This window comes from Homo sapiens, chromosome 8 (assembly GCF_000001405.40).
Source record: "Homo sapiens chromosome 8, GRCh38.p14 Primary Assembly".
Classification (NCBI taxonomy): Eukaryota; Metazoa; Chordata; class Mammalia; order Primates; family Hominidae; genus Homo; species Homo sapiens.
In genome coordinates, this window is record NC_000008.11 from 25,819,373 (window position 1) to 25,840,920 (window position 21,548).

At 41.7% G+C, this 21,548-nt stretch overlaps 2 long non-coding RNA genes across 2 annotated transcripts in view, besides 1 other annotated feature; one reads left to right on the forward strand and one right to left on the reverse strand.

Annotated features, from left to right (window-relative positions):
* The window catches only part of LOC107986933 (uncharacterized), a 207,238-nt gene extending 189,241 nt beyond the window's left edge, over positions 1-17,997 (forward strand). Inside the window, exons 2-3 of the long non-coding RNA XR_001745849.2 lie at positions 17,006-17,249; positions 17,894-17,997. This is a non-coding gene — a long non-coding RNA (uncharacterized LOC107986933). The remainder of the gene's footprint in view (positions 1-17,005; positions 17,250-17,893) is intronic.
* Positions 10,884-11,684: an enhancer, noted in NCBI's record as "NANOG-H3K27ac-H3K4me1 hESC enhancer chr8:25687772-25688572 (GRCh37/hg19 assembly coordinates)". NCBI's record gives its function as "activates a minimal SCP1, AML or CMV promoter by ChIP-STARR-seq in naive and primed H9 embryonic stem cells {active_cell/tissue: H9 hESC(naive and primed)}" and the evidence as "EXISTENCE:reporter gene assay evidence [ECO:0000049][PMID:30033119]".
* On the reverse strand, positions 14,754-20,650 carry LOC124901915 (uncharacterized). The gene is made up of 2 exons (XR_007060864.1): positions 20,593-20,650; positions 14,754-15,070 (listed from the first exon to the last, which is right to left on the reverse strand). It is a non-coding gene; the product is annotated as an uncharacterized LOC124901915 (long non-coding RNA).

Below are 21,548 nucleotides of genomic sequence, written 5' to 3' on the forward strand. Positions count from 1 at the left end.
CCTCCAAAAAACATTATATTAGACAATGTAGCTGAACATTTTGGCGGCAGGGAGTGAGAAAAAGACTAGGAAGTGAATTTGCCCTTACGTTAGTTAAATTAATATGCTCTTTGGATCCATCCAGAGTCTTCTGAGAGTCATTTCTCAACTGTCCACCTTCAATCCCAGAAGGATTCTCCAAAGGAACTGTGGCTAGTGTGAGGGGACTGGCCTCAGAAAGATGGGAGTGGCACTGTTAGGACAGAGAGCTCCCCCAGAGAAAATAGCCACAACCTTGGGTGACCATAAGCTTAATGGTTAAACCCAGTTGGCTAGGAGAACAAAGAACTGGGATGCTTTAAGAGAAATCACTTTTTATCCTTTCCGTATGCCTTCATGAGTAACACTCCTGGCGCCCTGGCCCCTATCCCTCACATCCCCATGAGAAGGAGGGAGTTGTAGCCTTTGGCATATGTGATCTGTTGGGTAGAGTTCATCCATCAAAAGACTGTCAGCATGAGGGATTTGCTCTCATCCCTCCTGTCTTCTAGTTTTAGTTAATGCATCTGCTGTGGTCCCAAACTTTCACTTGGACGGCCACCCCAGGGTCTACACTAGTGTGTGTCGTGTGTGCCTGTGGGGAGTGGGTTGGGTAGGGAATGTTAACAGGCTCATGGCATACCTCAGCCATGCTCCCCAATAACGTGTATTAGTAATAAAGTCAGCATTTTCCTCTTCATTTGCCTGACTCCTGTTCTACCCTGTGGTAGGTTCTGAACTTGGGCAAGAACAAGCATATTAGTTTGTTTACTCTATAGAGCCCCCAGTAACGCTCATCTTTAAAGTCTGAATAATAAGCCCCACCACTACTCCCATCATACGCAGCTGTATTTAAAGGTTAAGCAGATAATGGATGTAAAAATACTTTGTAAATTGCTTATCATTCCTTAGTTTGGTCAATTCTTGTTGTTACTTGTATTAGTTCTAAGATAACCGTCATCTCCTTTGCAAATGAGAATTTAAAATGACACTGCTCACTGCAGTGTAGTCATAGTGTGAATAGCTCCCACTTCTTGACTTCCTGTTCTGCGCTGGGCACTCAAGATAATTCTCACTCTGTGCGTTTCTTGCTTTATTGACAACATCACAACTTTTCTCAAAATGTTGGGAAGAATATGAAGTTCCTGAGAGGACATTGAAATGGAGGCCAACAGGAGGCCCTGGGTGTGTCATTTTTAACCATTTTTCATAAATCCAAAAAAGGGGTCACGTTTATTATGGCTATTGCCTTACGCAAGGAGAGTTGTAGGCAGGGGCTACTCCTACTCTGTGTTCTTCTTCAAGGTTGGATGGGGGCATAGGGTTACCCACTTTGTCTCTTGCAAGTTGATATCTCTGTGTGTCAACTTGCCATTAGCTATTCTGTTGACACCCCCGTACAGCCCCAGCTGCCTGTGAACCCTATCCCACAAGCAGAGATAATGAGACAGTGCTACGTATATAACCTGGTCTGATTAGAGTCTCAGATCTTTGCACCTCAACAGCTGTGTGTTGTCACCAATGAAAATTTTTAACTCGTCTGCCAATTCCCTGGTTGCCCAAATAAGTGGCTGAAAGAGTGGCTGCTGTTCCATCGTTTATTAGAACAGAATTTAGGTTCTGATAAACCCTAATGCTGAAAATTAGCTCCGAGGAAACTGCGACTGTGGTTCTTGGTCTCTGGCTGATAGGAAGAAGTTAGAATGTATTCAGGTGGGGTTTTTTTATCCTGTAGCCAGTTCAGCACTCAAATTACTTCTGAGCTATTTTTAAAAACGTAATAGGACCAATACTTAGGAGAGCCAGATGCAGTGTGAGGAGGATCAGAAAGCATCTATTACGGGCTCGACATTCGCTCTCCCACAAAGCCTCGGATGATATTGGAAAAGCTCTTCGTGGTCTTCCCGGCGGCTTAACCACGTCGCTGGAATCCTCGGGGTGCTCGCAAAACTTGCCATGGATGGAGAAGCCGTTTTAGCTCGTGAAGTCATGTTGGAATTAGCCTTTTGACATCAGCAAAGTCACAGGCGTCACTGGCTTTTCAGTTACATTGAGATGTCGCCCCGGGACTATAGGGGTGCAATCTACCCTTTCAAAATGTTGGAGCCTGAGCCTTCTTTTTGAGGTCTCCAAAGAAAGAGGCTTCGCATTTTTGGTAGCATGTTCAAGTGTCTCACACCTGTTTCAGACAAAGACAGTTATTTTTCAAGTGCATTCTAGAATTTTTCTTCTTGTTCTGATATTGTGGAGCGTGAAACCTCTTTTCATCTCCACTTTCCTCTGATTCCTCATGCAGGATTCTTGGAGGTTGTCATTGGTTCCACTCCCTTGGCTTTTTCCTTTTCAGACTAAAATGAGCAACAGACTGAGAAGAATACACTGTGTTCCCAGCTGGGGAGCAGAAAGAAAGAGGAGGAGGCCACTGAGGGAGGATGGAAGATGCAGCCCCTGGCCTCGTTGGAACGTGCCATCCAGTGAATAATTTCTTCCATTTTTCCTCCAGCAGGAAAAGGTGTCTTTTTTCTCCCCCAAGCTGTTGCTCATTTTGGCCATGTCCTTCCCAAACCTTTCCAAGTTCTCTCAATTCTTCATTTCCAAAGCTCAGTTTGAATCTAGCACAGAAAAACAATAATCTTATTTTAAAAGATGTTTAAATTCAAAAACTATAACATCTTGCTTATGTTATTTTAAAATTACAGTGGGAAACAAGAGCATTGGTGGCAGGGCTAGATTCTGGCTGTGTCACCACCCGGCTCTGGGACTTCTGCCGACAACCCTAATTTGTCTCAGCCTCAGTTGCTGGTAAAATGTGGATAGCAACAGCCGATTACGGGCTTGGTAGGAGCATTAGAGGCTAAGTGTGGGAGGCTCCTTGCACTTACTGATTTCTTTTTTTAAAATAGAAAATTATAAAATCTGAATCCTATTGTCTTTTTATGAATTAAAATGCACAGGCCCATGGTTTTCATGAACAGCAGTAGTGTACTCAGTGCTGCGACTGTTAATTTCTCAGCCCTTCCTAGGCAGGGCTGAGTCTGTCCTTCCAGCTCCCACAGCCCCTGGCTCATGCCTGTTCCCCAGGAGGGGCCATGTTGTAGCCGAGTGTTGATAAACCTGCCTCTTCCATGCATAGTGAGGCTCTCCAAGCAATGTCGAGCCGTCCACTCATCTGCGCACTTGTGTGCTGGCCTTGCCGCTTATGAAGTGCATTCATATGGCTGTAGAGAGTGGTATGATAAGATAACGGAGACAGAGAAGGGTGAGGGGATGAAGGGGGCAGAATGATGAGAAATTGATTAGTGGGTACAATGTACATTATTCTGGTGATAGATACCCCAAAAGCCCTGTCTTGATCACTACAAAATCTATGCACGCAACAAAATTGCCCTTGTACCCCATACATTTGTACAAATTAAAAAATAAAGCATGTTCACAGGCACTGTGACATTATTATTTCAGTCTTACAGCAATGCCATGAGCTAGTTCCTTAGGCCCATTTTACAGATGATAGAATGAGCTCAGAAAAACCAAGCCATTGTTCCATGGTCAAAAAGCCCATGAACTAAGTCACTTGAATGTGAATCTCAGCTTTTTTTTTTTTTTTTCTTAAGGTGAATTTTGTGTTTCTGTCACCTCTCAGCCCCACAGTCCTAGGGTTCTCTGTTTCCTACATCTGGCACTATCTCTTTTACACACACAAACTCAACACCCTCCTCTGTAGCCAGGAACTTAAATCATCCCCAGGTAGGACTGAGATGGCACGAGGGAAGACCACGTGAGGATAGAGTGAAGCGGCGGCTGTCTGCAAGTCAAGGAGAGAGGCCTCAGAAGAAACTAACTCTACTGACACCTTGATCTTGAACTTCCAGGCACCGGAACTATGAGAAAATAAATTTCTGTAGTTTTAGCCTCAAAAAAACCGTCATCTCCAGGTAACCTGGAAGCTCCAGTAATCCCCAGGTTTGTGAATTCTTGGAGTGCCATTAACATTGCTGCCAGCTCTGATGGAAGGAATCAGGGTACAAGACCATGACCTGCCCACAGAGTGCCAGGTTGGCCCTGGGAACCTGGCCAGCCTCTCTTCTTGGCTAACTCTGGGCACCAGAACCTTGTCTGAAATAATTCTGTGGTAGCTATAGAAACATCTTGAGTGGTCTTATACTCCCAAACATTATATAGATGAGAAAAGTATAGCTAAGAATGGCTGAAGCCACTCAGTGGAGCAGACTCTTGGTCCATGGCCCTGAATAAATCCTTGTGGTGGCTCCTGACATGACATCACACTTCCTCTTCCCCAAGACTCTTAGCAAGTGCACATAACAAGCTGGTCTTCATGCTCACCTGGACCACAGCTTTTTTGTACACTCACCTCTTCTCCGCTGTGCGTCTGTGTTGTCCTCCTTATCTATCCTGGGACATACCTGGGTGCTTTTCCCAAGCCTTTGCTGATGGACAGACTTGCTCAAGGTTCTGTGTGAGCAGAAGCTTCCTGCCTGAGTTCTTAGAGAAGCATGGTTGGCATCCCTGTGCTAAGAAATTCTTTCTGCTTACCGGTCTCTCAGAGGGAAACAGCTCTTTCTGTTGACTCTTGACCCTATAGTTTTACATGTTGGTTGACACTGGAAGCTTGTGTTCTCTGACCAGCTGTGCTTGTGCTATAGGGAGAGGACAGATGCTCTGTGTCCCACTCCTTTAGGACAAAATATTGGTTCCAAGATAAATTGATTCCCGGGTGCTCGCAAGCAAGGACACCACAACACTGTCTCTATCAGTGTTCTTTCTGCTGATAGAAGACTGGACTTTCACTGTTTTCCGACTTTGTCTCCAGTGATGCACGGGCTCACTGTGTGTCCAGGAAACAGTTTCTTGCCGGCATCTTCACCTGAAGTAGAGGAGGAACAGGATGCCCCCAGAGTCCTCGAGGGTGGGCCTGTGTCCACTGGGGGCAGGGTGTTCCTTTCCATCTGCCGATCTTTGGGCAGCCTAAGGACACCAGGGTGGGGGCAGGAGGAAGAGGAACCATGGAGGCAACATAGGCCACATCTGTACTGAGGCTCAGACAGTTTCCCCTTTGGCTTTGTCTTTCTGTGTCTGTTGAAGATAACACTTATTAAGGTAGAATCAACTATAATAATCTGCACCTATGTAAAGTGTACACGTTGGTAAGTTTGGGCTTATGTAAACACCCATGAAACCATCACCATAATCAAGATCGGGAATATATTCTTCACCCTCAAAAGTTTCCCCAAGCCCATTATAGATCAGTTTGCAGTTTCTAGAATTTTATATAAATAGAATCATATAGTATCTAGTGTTTAAAAAATTGATATGTAATTTACATACAATAAAATTCACTTGTTTTAAATATATATATTTGTAAGGACTCTCCAGAGAAACATAATGAATTGTGTGTTTGTGTGTGTGGGGGGAGAGAGAGAGAGAGAGGGAAGAAAATATTCAGTTTTGTAAAGGAATTAGCTCACAAAATTGTGGGGTCTGAAATTTGTAGGGCAGGCCAGCAGGCTGAAAACTCAGGCAGGAGGAGATGTTACAGTCTTGAGATAGAATTTCTTTTCTTGGAGACCTCAGATTTTGCTCCGAAGACCTTTAACTGATTGGGTGAGGCCCACCCAGATTATTAAGGGTAATCTTTTTATTTAAAATTGTGCCACCATCATCGCAATCTAATTTTAGAACAGTCCCATCACCCTGAAGCCTTAAACACTTTTTCCTTTGGATTTATCTTTCTGTGTTTCTTTTTTACCATTAAGGTCATCAGTACAAAAGGAACTAGACACCTCTAGTCTAATTCTTCAGCTCTTCTAATCTCATTTTTTTCCTTTATTTCCTCTAACAAAATGGGATACATGTGCAGAATGTGCAGGTTTGTTATATAGGTATACATGTGCCATGGTGGTTTGCTGTACCTATTGACCCATACTCTAAGTTCCCTCCCCTCGCCCCCATCCCCCAACAGGCCCAGGTGTGTGTTGCTCCCTTCTCTGCGTCCATGTAGTCTCAATGTTCAATTCCCACTTATGAGTGAGAACATGTGGTGTTTCGTTTTCTGTTCTTGTGTTAGTTTACTGAGGATGATGGCTTCCAGCTTCATCCATGTCCCTGCAAAGGACATGATCTCATTTTTAATGGCTGCATAGTATTCCATGGTGTATATGTACCACATTTTCTTTATCCAGTCTATCATTGATGGGCATTTGTGTTGGTTCCATGTCTTTGCTATTGTAAATAATGCCGCAATAAACATACATGTGCATGTGTCTTTATGGTAGAATGATTTATATTCCTTTGGGTATATACCCAGTAATGGGATTGCTGGATCAAATGGTATTTCTGGTTCTAGATCCTTGAGGAATCACCATACTGTCTTCCACAATGGTTGAAATAGTTTACATTCCCACCACCAGTGTAAAGCGTTCCTATTTCTCCACAGCCTCACCAGCATCTATTGATTCATGACTTTTTAATAATCACCATTCTTACTGGCATGAGATGGTATCTCATGGTGGTTTTGATTTGCATTTCTCTGGTCAGTGATGTTGAGCTTTTTTTCATATATTTGTTGGCTGTGTAAATGTCTTCTTTTTAGTAGTATTCCTATCCTTTGACAACTTTTTGATGGAATTGTTTTTTTTCTTGTAAATATGTTTAAGTCCCTTATAAATTCTGGATATTAGACCTTTGTCAGATGGGTAGATTGCAAAAATTTTCTCCCATTCTGTAGGTTGCCTGTTCACTCTGATGATAGTTCCTTTTAAGCAGTGCAGAAGCTCTTTTGTTTAATTAGATCCCATTTGTCAATTTTGGCTTTTGTTGCAGTTGCTTTTGGTGTTTTTGTCATGAAGTTTTTGCCCATGCCTATGTCCTGAATGGTATTGCCTATGTTTTCTTCAAGGGTTTTTATGGCTTTGGATTTTATAGTTAAGTCTTTAATCCATCTTGAGTTAATTTTTGTATAAGGTGTAAGGAAAGGGGTCCAGTCTCAGTTTTCTGCATATGGCTAGCCAGTTTTCCCAGCACCATTTACTGAATAGGAAATCCTTTCCCCATTGCTTGTTTTTGTCAGGTTTGTCAAAGATCAGATGGTTGTAGATATGTGGCCTTATTTCTGAGGTCTCCGTTCTGCTCCACTGGCCTATATGTCTGTTTTAGTACCAGTACCATGCTGTTTTGGTTACTGTAGCCTTGTAGTATAGTTTGAAGTCAGGTGGCATGATGCCTCCAGCTTTGTTCTTTTTGCTTAGGATTGTCTTGGCTACACAGGGCCTTCTTTGATTCCATTTGAAATTTAAAATAGTTTTTTATTCTAATTCTGTGAAGAATTAGAATAGTTTGTTTGATGGGAATAGCATTGAATCTATAAAACACTTTGGGCAGTATGGTCGTTTTCATGATATTGATTCTTCCTATCCATGAGGATGGAATGTTTTTCCATTTGTTTGTGTCCTCTCTTATTTCCTTGAGCAGTGGTTTGTAGTTCTCCTTGAAGGGGTCCTTCACATCCCTTGTTAGCTGTATTCCTAAGTATTTTATTCTCTTTGTAGCAATTATGAATGGGAGTTCATTCATGATTTGGCTCTCTGCTTGCTTATTGTTGATATAAAGGAATGCTTGTGATTTTTGCACATTGATTTTGTATCCTGAGACTTTGCTGAAGTTGCTTATCAGTTTAAGGAGTTTTTGGGTTGAGATGATGGGGTTTTCTAAATATAAAATCATGTCATTTGCAATCAGAGACAACTTGACTTCCTGTCTTCCTATTTGAATACACTTTATTTCTTTCTCTTGCCTGATTGCCCTGGCCAGAACTTCCAATACTGTGTTGAATAGGAGTGGTGAGAGAGGGCATCTTTGTCTTGTACTGGTTTTCAAAGGGAATGCTTCCAGCTCTTGCCCATTCAATATGATATTGGCTGTGGTTTTGTCATAAAAAGCTCTTATTATTTTGAGATATGTTCCATCAATACCTAGTTTATTGAGAGTTTTTAACATGAAGGGATGTTGAATTTTTGTCAAAGGCCTTTTCTGCCTCTATTGAGATAATCATGTGGTTTTTGTCTTTGGTTCTGTTTATGTGATGGATTATGTTTATTGATTTGCATATGTTGAACCAGCCTTGCATCCCAGGGATGCAGCCGAATTGATCTTGCTGGATAAGTTTTTTGATGTGCTGCTGGATTCGATTTGCCAGTATTTTATTGAGGATTTTCGCATTGATGTTCATCAGAGATACTGGCCTGAAGTTTTCTTTTTTTGTTGTGTCTCTTCCCAGTTTGGGTATCAGGATGATTCTGGCTGCATGAAATGAGTTAGGGAGGAGTCCTTCCTTTTCAATTGTTTGGAATAGTTTCAGAAAGAATGGTACCAGCCCCTCTTTGTATTTCTGGTAGAATTCAGCTGTGAATCTGTCTGGTCCTGGGCTTTTTTTGGTTGGTAGGCTATTAATTATTTTGTCAATTTCAGAACTTGTTATTGGTCTATTTAGGGATTCAACTTCTTCCTGGTGTAGTCTTGGTAGGGTGTATGCATCCAGAAATTTATTCATTTCTTCTAGATTTTCCACTTTATTTGCATAGAGGTGTTTATAGTATTCTCTGATGGTAGTTTGTATTTTTGTCAGTGGTGATAATCCCCCTTATTATTGTTTATGGTGTCGCGTCTATTTGATTTTCTCTCCTTCTTCTTTATTAGTCTAGCTAGCAGTCTACCTATTTTGCTAATTTTTTAAGCTCCTGGATTTGTAGATTTTTTGGAGTGTTTTTAATGTCTCCATCGCCTTCAATTTTTCTCTGATCTTAGTTATTTCGTGTCTTCTAGCTTTTGGATTAGTTTGCTCTTGTCTCTCTAGCTCTTTTAATTGTGATGTTAGAGTGTTGATTTGAGATCTTTCTAGCTTTCCGCTGTGGAAATTTAGTGCCGTAAATTTCCCTCTTAACACTACTTTAGCTGTGTCCCAGAGATTCTGGTACATTGTCTCTTCGTTCTCATTGGTTTCAAAGAACTTCTTGATTTAAGCCTTAATTTCATTCTTTACCCAGGAGTCATTCAGGAGCAGGTTGTTCAATTTCCATGAAGTTGTGTGCTTTTGAGTGAGTTTCTTAATCCTGAGTTCTAATTTGATTGCACTATGGTCTAAGAGACTGTTTGTTATGATTTCAGTACTTTTTCATTTGTTGAGGAGTGTATTACTTCCAATTATGCGGTTGATTTTATAATAAGTGCCATGTGGCACTGAGAAGAATGTATATTCTGTTGATTTGGGGTAGAGAGTTCTGTAGATGTCTATTAGGTCTGCCTTGGTCCAGAGCGGAGTTCAAGTCCTGAATATCCTTGTTAATTTTCTGTCTCATTGATCTGTCTAATATTGACAGTGAGGTGTTAAAGTCTCCCACTATTATTGTGTGGGAGTCTAAGTCTCTTTGTAGGTCTCTAAGAACTTTCTTTACAAATCTGGGCACTCCTGTATTAGGTGCATATATATTTATAATAGCTCTTCTTGTTGAATTGTTCCCTTTACCATTATGTAATGCCCTTTTTTCTGGTTTGTAGTCTGTTTTGTTAGAGACTAGGATGCAACCCCTGCTTTTTTTTTGCTCTCCATTTGCTTGATAAATTTTTCTCCATTCCTTTATTTTGAGCCTCTGTGTGTCTCTGCATATAATATGGGTCTCTGGAATACAGCACACCAATGGGTGTTCCTTATCCAATTTGCCAGTCTGTGTCTTTTAATTGGGGCATTTAGCCTATTTACATTTATTTACATTTAAGGTTAGTATTGTTATGTGTGAATTTGATCCTGTCTTCATGATACTATTTGGTTATTTTGCACACTAGCTGATGTAGTTTCTTCATAATGTCATTGGTCTTTATATTTTGGTCTGTTTTTGCAGTGGCTGGTACCAGTTTTTCCTTTCCATATTTAGTGCTTCCTTCAGGAGCTCTTGCAGGGCAGGACTGGTAATGAAATATCTCAGTATTTGCTTGTCTGGAAAGGATTTTATTTCTCCTTTGCATATGAAGCTTAGTTTGGCTGGATATGAAATTCTGGGTTGAAAATTCTTGAGTTGAATATTGGTCCCCAATCTCTTCTGGCTTGTAGAGTTTCTGCTGAGAGGTCTGCTGTTAGTCTGATGGGCTTCCCTTTGTAGGAGACCTGGCCTTTCTCTCTGGCTGCCCTTAAGAGTTTTTCCTTCATTTCAACCTTGGAGAACCTGATGATTATGTATCTTGGGGTTGATCTTCTCGTGGAGTATCTTAATGGTGCTCTCTGTATTCCCTGAACTTGCATGTTGGCCTGTCTTGCTAGGTTGGGGAAGTTCTCCTGGATAATATCCTGCAGTGTGTTTTCCAGCTTGTTTCCATTCTCTCTACCTCCTTCTCGTACTCAAATCAATTGTAGGTTCGGTCTTTTTATGAAGTCCCATATTTCTTGGAGGCTTTGTTCATTCCTTTTCATTCTTTTTTCTCTATTCTTGTCTGCATGTCTTATTTCAGTAAGGTGGTCTTCAAACTCTGATATCCTTTCTTCTGCTTGGTCAATTCGGCTGTTGATACTTGTGTATACTTCACAAAGTTCTAGCGCTGTGTTTTTCAGTTCCATCAGGTTGTTTATGTTCCTTTCTAAACTGGTTATTTTAGTTAGCAATTCCTCTAACCTTTTATCAAGGTTCTTAGCTTCTTTGCATTGGGTTAGAACATGCTCCTTTAGCTCATTGTAGTTACTACCCATCTTCTGAAGCCTACTTCCGTCAATTCATCCATCTGATCCTCTGTCCAGTTCTGTACCCTTGATGGAGAGACGTTTCGATCATTTGGAGGAAAAGAGGCACTCTGGCCTTTTGGGTTTTCAGCAGTTTTTCGTTGATTCTTTCTCATCTTCGTGAGTTTGTCTAGTTTTGGTCTTTGAGTCCGCTGACCTTTGGATGTGGTTTTTGTGGGGGCCTTTTTTTTGTTGTTGCCTTCTGTTGGTTTGTTTTTCTTTCAGTAGTCAGGTCCCTCTTCTGTAAGGCTGCTGCAGTTTGCTGGGGGTTCACTTTAGGCCCTATTTACCCAATTCATTCCCATGCCTGGAGATGTCATTCACAGAGGCTGGAGAAGAGCAAAAATGGGTGCTTGCTCTTTCTTCTGGGACGTCTGACCTCGAGGGGCACCAACGTGATGCCAGTAGGATCTCTCCTATATAGGGTGTTTGACAACCCCTGTTGGAGGGTCTCACCCAGTTGGGTGGCATGGGGAGCAGGACCCATTTAATGAAGCACTTTGTTTCTTGGTGGAGAGAGTGTGCTTCACTGTGGGGAAACCCACTCATCCAGGTTGCCTGCATTCCTCAGAACTACCAGGAGGAGAGGTTAAGTCTGCTAGTCCGCAGAGACTGTGGCCACCTCTCCCACTAGGGGCTCATGCCCAGGGAGATCCAAATTCTGTCCCTGATCCTCTGGCTGGAGTTACTGGAAATCCTGCAAGGAAGCCCCACCCAATGAGGAAAGATGGGTCAGCGTTAGGTCTGAAGAGGCACTCTGGCCGCTGACTGCCACAGCCGGTGTGTTGGGCTGTGGGGACAAGTCTTGGGGCCAAGCTGTCCAGTCTCCCTGGCTCCAGCAGGGGAAAAGCATAGCTTGGAGCTATAGAAATGGGTGCCGCCCTTCCCCCCACCCAGGGAGCTTAGCATGTTAGGCAGTTGTGAGTCATAGTGCTGGCTGCTGTCCCTCCCCCAAGGAGCTCAACCGGCTTAGACAGCAGGCAGCCATAGCTGATGCTGGTCGCCCTTCCCCCAGGGATTTCCATTAGGCTTAAGCAGATTCAAGCTGAGAGGCTGTAAGCATCTGTGCATTCTGTGGTTGGGACGCTAGACCCTGGTGGCGTGGATTCGCGAATGGGATCTTCTGATCCATGGGTTGCACAGTTCCATGGCAAAAGCATAGTCTCCCTGGCAGGGTAGCACACTTACCACCTCCCTTGGCTGGGGGAGGAGGTTCCCCTTGCCCGTGTGGCTCTCAGGTGTGCCACTGCAGCACACTGTTGTTCCTTCTCTCCGTGGTCAATTTTTTTGTTGAGAGAGCCCCGTAGTCAATTTTGATGAGAAAACATGGATACCTTGGTTGCTGGTGAAGGATTCACACACTTATTATGTTTTTTTTTTTTCACTGGGAGCCTCCGAACGTAGCTGCTTCTGGTCGGCCATCTTGGCCCTGCCCCCACCGTAATCTCATTTTAGTAAGACTTTTCCATAATTGTCTACTGATTATTTATTACTTATCTGTGTGGTAGAATTGAAAAACAATCACTTTTTAACAAACTTTGATTTCTTCATTTACAGTCAAGAATATTGAATTCTACTGATGTGTGTTGATCCCTTCTCTGTGTTACTTGTGTTCACAAGAGTCACCCCATTTTATTTTTAACCTCACGAGATAAGGAAGAGTTGACCCATTTTTGCAGAATAAGGAATGGAGTCTCAGAGAGGCCAAGAGCTGACACAATCAAGAGTTCAACTGAGATTTGAAAGTAGCCCTTCTGATTCTAAGTCCTTCCATTGCAGCCCAGCTGCCTGCTTCAGACATAAGCTACCCTATGTGCTTAAAAGAGCCCCATACAGCATCGATGCACATGACTAAGCCTTGCTGTGGGAAAGGATACCTTGTGGAGGTCTCTACTGCATGGAGGTTGGCACAAACAGGCAGGCTCACCTGGCATTTCTACCCATGCTTGAGACAGGATGCTAAAAAAGGGCACTTCTTAAAGAAACATGGAAAGATAGATCCAAGGGAAAAAGCATTTAAGGCCTTGGGGTGATGGAGCTGTTCTAAAGTTAGGTTGGGATAGTGGTGGCACAACTTTAGTTAAGTAGACTACAACTATTAAATTGTGTACTCTATGTTGGTTTTGTGTGCCAATCTGGCTTGGCTGTTAGTACTCAAGTAGTTTATGTCGTTTTCCTTGTTACCATTGTTGGAGTCATTGGTTTTTGGAAAACCAGGTTGGAACATGCTGGGGAAAGCATCCTTCCCAGGCCTATCCCTCTTGTCTTTCTCTTGCCAACACAGTCCTCCAACAGGCAGAAGCAACCTGGTGCTTCTGTGAGGGACCTGGAGAACTTTGCCTGAGGCTTTGCATCTTCTTAGCTCCTTCCCACCTCCTCCAGCTGCTGCCTGTGCCACAGGCGCCTTCTCCTCTGCCGCTCTGATGAACAACAAGGTGCAGTTCCACTTTCTGCTGTCATTTCTCATGGGTGGATGCCATCAATCTTGTCTTCTGTGTTCTAATGAACCTATAGCCCCCAACCACTCCCAACATCAAAATATGTCCTACAGGTTAGAATTTTGGTGCTACTTCTGATTTCTCTTTGACTGTTCCTTCCTGTGCCCAAGGCCTCTCAGAATTCCTTAACTGACCTTTCCATGGTACTCAGTTCCATGCCAGAATGGACTGCCATACTAGGAAACCTTTCTTCTGTTCTCTGTTGGAAGATCAAATCTATGCCATGCCCTCTCTTCATTTGATCTCTTCTTCCACTCTCTGACATTCCTACTTAAAACAGTAAAAACAAAAACAAAGAATTAAGAAAGAGTAGGGAAGCTATCCATGCAAATTAGCACAGGCTCACAAACTTGGGGGGCCTTGGGCCATGATTCAACATAGAAGAAAAATTTAGCCTGACACATAAGCGTTTCCTTAGGCGTCTGGACAACCTCTTCCCTCATCAACAAGCCAACCCTGCCGAGTCTAAAGAAGGGGTCAGTTTTGTAAAAACCTTATTATACAGGAAGACATTTCTATTCAGTTTCCCTGCAAAGGCAGAGGTAAGTTTCCCAGAAGAGCTAGTTAATTTCTTTGCTCACCTCCTGCACACTCAGTGAATTCCATGAAGTGATAGATTCTTGGGCCTCCGCCCACACATACAGGTATAAGGACAATGGATAGAAGAACCAGTTGCTTTAAGTTCTTAAAAATAAGAAAATGAAGACACCACAGCATCGCTTCATAGGCGGTTTTTGTGCCTTATGCCATAGAAATCTGTATGTCCTGGATTTTCTAGGACAACTCCAATTTCAGCTATATTTATACTTGTCAAGTCATAATTTCTTATTATTGGCTAACAAAATATGATCACCTTGGTTACAGGTGAGCCTGTGTTATGTGAGGTTATTGTCATAACTAATTTTTCTTGGATGGCGTCAAACATGACTGAGTTCTACCAAAGTGTATACTAAATGAGTCATATTATTGAGATGATACAGTGCAGTTACCAGGTGGTTCTGCTAATAATTAGAAACACATTTCTATATTTCATAGGACCAAGGAAAGGAAAACATCACCAGGAAAATGTTACATGTGGGGACAATTATTCTATAGGCCCTTGGCTGGGATTTGTGGATATGAACATAATTCAGAGGTAAAAGTGAAATACCAGAATAATACATGGAGATTTCTTCTATTGGTGCAGAACTACAGAATACAGGAATCAACATGCAGCCAAGTCTTGAGTATTCAAGGAATGATGACCCAATTTGTCGATTACTAAGACTTTTCCTCCCTTTTCCTATTCTCACAGTTCAGTGATCCTCAAATTTGAGTAATATATTTCCAAATTAAGAATTTAGAATTAAGAAAAAAAATTTTAAACCTTTAAAAGGCTGTGGTGTTTCTTAAATTATTTGTAAATTATTTGGAATTATATTAAAATTTGCACAAAGCTAAAATTTAAGATTCGATTCATATGCTTTTATATATGCTTGTTTTAATAAAAATAATTCACAAAGTAAAAACCATCAAAACCACAAAATCAGTAAGTTCAATATTAACAACATTAATTTACAGTGATGGATGATGTTTTGCTGAAACAACATGGGAAAGTGTAATTTTCGCATGTGATCAGGAGCAGAGGAGAACCAAATATTGGAAATCAGTGTTGGAGATCCACAACTTCCAGCTCCTCCACTAGCACGTAATGCTTTTTTCTCAGGGGTCTGTCAGCCCCAGCTTGGGGAACACTGCTTTTGCCATTTATGTAGAATTGATTTTCTTCTTCTAAGATCTGCCAGGGAAAGAAGACAATGTGAAACCAAAATCCACCAGATACCCTTGTTGTTGCTAAAGGGAATTTAGGGCTGTTTGTAGGTTTCAATTAGATAAAGTTTTGACCTCCTTTCTGGTTTCTCATTACCATGGCTATTAGAGCAGTGGTCCCCAATCCCTAGGCCATGGACTGGTACCAATCCATGGCCTGTTAGGAACAGGGCCACACAGCTGGAGGTGAGCGGCAGGTGAGCAAGTAAAGCTTCACCTGTATTTACAGCCGCTCCCATCTCTTGCATTGCTGCCTGAGCTCCGTCTCCTGTCAGATCAGCGACAACATTAGATTCTCAAAGGAGCACAAACCTTATTGTGAACTGCAAATGTGAGGGATCTAGTTTGGGTGTTCCTTATGAGAATCTAATGCCTGATGATCTGTCCCTGTCTCCATCACCCCCAGATGGGACCATCTGGTTGCAGGGAAACAAGCTCAGAGCTCCTACTGATTCTATATTATGGTGAGTTGTATAATTATTTCATTATATACTATTAATACAATGTAATAATAATAGAAATAAAGTGCACAATAAGTGTAATGCGCTTGAATCATCCAAAACCATCCCCCTCTTCTGGTCCGTGGAAAAACTGCCTTCCACAAAACTGGTCCTTGGTGCCATAAAGGTTAGGGATCACTGTGTTAGAGCATTATCCATCAATTGCCTCTTCAGGATTGCCCTCCTACTGCATTGGACTGGCTATAGCACAGCAGGCAGACACATGCCTTTTCCAGAGACTCCCACATTGATTTTTGAATGACACGAACACATCCATTAGGCCTGCCTTACATTGTAAGTGGATCCACTTGAAGGAGCAGCCAACTCATGTATTGTGATGTAAATGGTGCTGTTCTGCACTCAGCACTTTCATCTTCTAAGTGTTTCACAAACACTGCTAATTAATAGTCCTCTTTTCTGTGCTGCCAGGGAGGAGTTGTAAGGAAAGAATGATGGGTGGCTTTCCAGATAAACACATGTTAATTTTTATCTCAGGCTAAGGGGAAAGAAACAAACATATAGAGCCAAACACTTACTGTGTCTGCCACTATGACATTGATTATTGTATTTAAACCTCACAACAATCTTGGCAGGCAAAGAATCTTGGCATAAAGGTCTTCTTATCACCATTTTTACAGATGGTGAAACTGCAGCTTGTAAGGATAATTATAGTGAGGGATGGAGGCAGGATTTGAACTCATGTCTGGTGGTTTCCAATGCTAACACTCATTCTGCTACTCCACAGGGCAAAGAGTGGAAGTTTAGCATTTCCAATGTATTAGTCATTATCATTATTATAAACAAGTATTATTAATGTTTAATGACCATAATACTTCAAATTTATGTAGCCCTAATCTTTGAGACACTTAGAGTTCTATGCAACTATTCTGCTCTTGCTCAGTTCAAAAGTGGTAATATTTGGATTTTGTATTAGAAGTCATTTTGGTCTCATTCTTGTTTTAAGAGCAATTTTTCATGGGTTCAAACTCTTGGACTTGTGAAAATCTGGGATTGAAAACAATGTTTGCTTTGTCCTCAAAAGTAGTAGCCATGACATACCAGATGTTCTAATCTCTGATAAGAAAATTCTTGTTAAATTTTAATGGAAGAAAATGGACTGGCGGTTAGGACACATCCTTTACTCTTTTTTTTTTTTTTTTTTTTTTTTCCTATTATCACTTACAAAGACCTGGGACTATGGTTTCTCCTGGCTGTACCACTCACTTCCAAGCACACTGAGACCTTGGGAACTAATTCCTGGGTATGCGGCCCATTGTTCTAACCTAATTTTTACTGTTGGATCAAAGTATATCCATGGCCAAATAATGGTCCTATTGCTAGTCACTCTTTTGTCCACAAATGAACTGGAGTGAAACCCGTATCTTGACTGCTTTCCTTTTTAGCACCCATCAGATAAGCAACCCGGGCTGTTGAGAGGACGATGTTAACTGACCCCCAAGGCAGGACCAGGTGCTGAAGTCCTGCTCTTTCAAAGATGATGAACCAGAGAATACTGTGTCACTGCTTGTTCCATTCCTGTGCTGGTACTGGCAAGTGGGAAAGCTGGGATTCAAATCCAAGTCTGTGTCTCCAAAAGTCCATGTTGAAGCTGTTCTTGTTGCTGAATTTAATGAACCTCTAACACATGTAGGTATTTTACATTTTCAATAAATTGTTAATTTTTTATGGAGTGCCTGCTTTTCTCAAGTATTATACTATGCTAGGTGCTAGGAATATAGTAGTGAATGAAACAGCCAGAAAAATACATTCAAACTTCATTGAGCTTACAGTCTTTAAAGTACATATATTTTTAAATTTAATCCTAATAACTATTTGTGTGTATGCATGTAGTTATATGTATACACACATATGCATGTATCTACGTATACATATATGCCTGTGTAGTTGTCCTTGTCCTTGTTTTACACTTGAGAAGAATAATGCAGTGATTTATTCAGGATTGCATAGCTAAGGATTGTAGAACTTGAATTTGAATCCAGATCTCTGAATCCTAGATATTTCCACATTATGACACTGTCTTCTGTTCATGAAATGAATGGAAAATAGGGTTTTGCTGTAAAAGGTGGGCTCAGTTTTAGGGAAATAACCAAAAAACCATCTCCTTCAATACTCCCAATGGTGTGACAGTTCGTGTGCCCTTCAACAGATTTCCAAGAGTCAGGCAATGAATTCCTTTCTGTGTATTATTCATCATAATAAACTTCAGCTGGATGATCACTTTTATTTGTTATTTGGGAAATTGCCTGTGTTTTATTATCTGTATTTGGCAGGATCCAATGGAGAAAGTGATCCAATGGAAAGGATCCAATGGAGAAAGTGTCACTGAGCTGGGCCGCAGAGCTGGTTATCAAGGGTAGTCTACGAAGTCAGAGGTAAGCTTGACACATGGTGGTAGAATGAAGTTCACGGTGCTGTGTAGTTGTCCCTTTTTCTTGAATTACCGTGGGGCTGACATCCAGACTAAAGTGCTATTCTATGACCTTTCTACCAGTTCCCTCTCAGAATCACTCAAAAGAAAATAGAGAAATGAGAAAGAGAGGCGTGAATTTATTTTTTGATGAAACTAGGAAAACAGGTTACCCCAAATCACAATGTATGAGAAAGGGGTGGCAATGGCTGTGAAAATTAAACAGGAATGTGGAGAGACTGAGAAAGGCTGCTTCAGCTGCTGACGTCAGAGAAAGCTGGGGGGAAAGAGTAGGACTATCTCGAAGGCCCAAACCAGCAGCCTCTTGTTTGTAACGACTGGGATGAGCATGGAATCTGACTGCAGACGTTATCTCTGGACCTCATCTGGCAGAGAGATGAAGCTCAGTAGGCAGAACTGAATGAGGAAATCACCCAAACAAGCCATAGATGTAAGAAGCGGCCAGTTGGCAAGGAAGAGTGGTCTGGCAGGTGCGGTGGCTCACACCTATAATCTCAGCACTCTGGGAGGCCGAGGAGGATCACTTGAGGCCAGGAGTTCGAGACCAGCCTGGCCAACATGGCAAACCCTGTCCCTATTAAAAAATATAAAAATTAGGCAGATGTGGTGATGCATGCCTGTAATCCCAGCTACCTGAGAGGCTGAGGCATGAGACTCACTTGAACCCAGGAGGTAGAGGTTGCAGTGGCCCGAGATCACACCACTGCACTCCAGCCTGGGTGACAGAACAAGACTCCTTCTCAAAAAAAAAAAAAAACACGCACGCTCTCTCTCTCTCTCTCTCTCTCTCTCTCTCTCTCTCTCTCTCTCTCTCTCTCACATACACACACACACACACACACACATGCATGTACACACGTAAGAATTCTGAAATAAGAATTTTTGTTATCTAATACATAGCCCTGACCCTCCCCTCCCAAACTTCTGGCAAATAGCTGGTCCAGGAAAAATTCACTTCAATCAAAGATAAATGCTGTCAAAAAGGTATCAGAATATGATATATATGCATACACTATGGGAGAGGGGAAAGAAAAAGGAAAGGAAAACAATGGATAGTTGATGGATAGTCACCAGAAAGAAAAAGGTTCTCATGGAGCTGGTGGTAATTCTGATCAAGCTCATTGCCTTAATCATTTTAAAAACCAATATTTCTATGAAACAATAGCTCAATGCAGAGATGCAGCAGTTCTATGAAAATGGGCAACACAATAAAACCGATGAAATATAACCTGGCACAACTCATGAAAATAGTGAAAGAAAAAATAAAAGCCACTGAGAAATTAGAAGGAACACAAAGGCAGACAAGAGTGAGAAAGGCAAGCAAACAGCATGCATTTAGAGAGGATGTGACGGACACAAATGATGGAGACTAGAGAGTCTCACTTGTGTCTTTAGAAAGACCAGAAAAGGGGACCAGAAGGACCAGAATGAAGGAACAGAGAATATATTTTAACATCGTAATTAAAGTTTCCAGAAATAAAAGACTACTTGAATCTACACATTGAAAGGGAACACTGGGAAAAAAATGACTCAGGACAATCAACATCCAGCTATATCCTGGTAAAGGGACTGGCTTCCCATAGAAAGCCTCTGGGGCTGACAGACAAAAAGATCAAGTCACTTGTAAATAAAGAGACCATGAGCTAGTCTCAATTTGCATCTGTTTTCCAGCCATAATTATGTATTGTGTTTCCCTCACTCTCAAAAGTGTCATGACTTACACAAAAAAATTATAGGATTGCCTTGCTTAAATAAGTAAAATAATAGAGGAGAAGAAAGTCATGGCTTTAGACATCGCCACAGCAACACAGCAAATAAACAAAAACTCCTATGAATCCTCAAAGTATAACCCCCCCAATTTTAGATTTAATACTTAACCAATAGCCACTCAAATAGAAATAATCTCTTTTTGGTGTGCATGAACCAAGGAGCATAATTCTCCTAAGTCCTTCTTGATTAAACTGCTAGAAAACAACCTTCAGTGAACCAAGAAGGAAGAGGAGGATGTGTGCCAGGTGTGTCCCAATTTAAAATAATTTCCTTCCAACCTTCCCAAGATATCCCCCCTCTGCACTCCCTACTTCAGTTAATGATATCCCGAAATCTGATTGTCTAACTGGCAAACTGGGATTTATCCTAGTCACCTCATTCTCTTCATTCCAACACTTCACTAGTCGATAACTCCTGTCAAACTGTAAAACGTTCTCTAAAATCTTTCCTCCGCTTTCCATCTCTATTGTCATGCCTTGTTCAAATATGAGTCATTTGTGTTTAGACTATTTCAATAGTATCTTAATTGCAGGAGCAATTTTAAAACATTTCACAACTGGTGCCACACAGATGCTGAGCAATTAGAAAGGACACCAGTCATAAACAATAGCCCAGAACACTGGTGCTCATCAGCTGTCTTTGGTCTTTGCCTAATTGGTCTCCTTGCTTCTAATATCTACATTCTCCAATCCATCACATTGTAGTTATTATGATTTATCTAAAGTCTAAAGTTGATCATGTCATTCTGTAAGTTTCTTTGAGTTCCATTACCTGCAGTATAGATCAGTGTATGAAGTCTAAAGTCTTTGGCATTGAGAACAGTCTTTTAGGACATAGTCCCCACCTAATTCTTAAAGTTTCAAATCTAAACACTCTCACATTCAGTGCCCAACAGCCACTCTGGACTTCTTGCCATTTGGTAAATGCACCAAAGACTCTTTGAGATTCAAGTGTGTGGTTAACATTGTCCTACCTGGAGCAGGAATGGAATGTACATTTCTCTAAAAGATCCAGATTCTGGTTCTAGAATCACATCCGAGTGAGAGAATCCACATGGGATAAGTTCCAGGGCTGAGCAACCTCTCCAACAGGCGACCAGCCAGAGGTTGCTTCCTCCTCATTTCCTTCCCATTTTGAGTTTTCTCTGTTAAACATCCAGCCACATTACATTATAGACACACTTCATAATTTTTTTGATTAGTTGACTGACAAGAGAGTCCCTAAGGAGTGGATTCTGCCAGTGATGCCATTTTCTGTCGTTTGTAACAAATCAGTGGCCTCTCCCACATGACAAGGCAGGGCCACCTCTGGGAGTCCGAACTGAGTCTGCTGGTTCACTCATCCAACAAGCATGTTGAGAACCTCGGTCACTTATGGGGTTGAGACCGATATGGTCCCTGTCCTTATGAGCTTTCTGTCTAAAGTGGAGGGAGACAGCCAGCAGGAAACAAACAAATGAATGCAAAGTGTGAAAAGGGCACAAACAGAGTTTAATTACGGAGAATAAGAAGGGGAATCTGCATCTTAGGTGGTCACCAGAGGCCTCCCTCAGTAGGTGATATTTAAACTGCGGCCTGAAGGATGAGAAGGCAACAGCTATGCACAGATCAAAGGGGAGAATATCCTACTAGGCAGAGAGCTAGTTTTCATTGAGAAAAGCAAAAACACAGTGACTTTTTCAGTGTTTAGAAGCAGGATTGCATCCACTTATGTGAGGAGGGCAATGC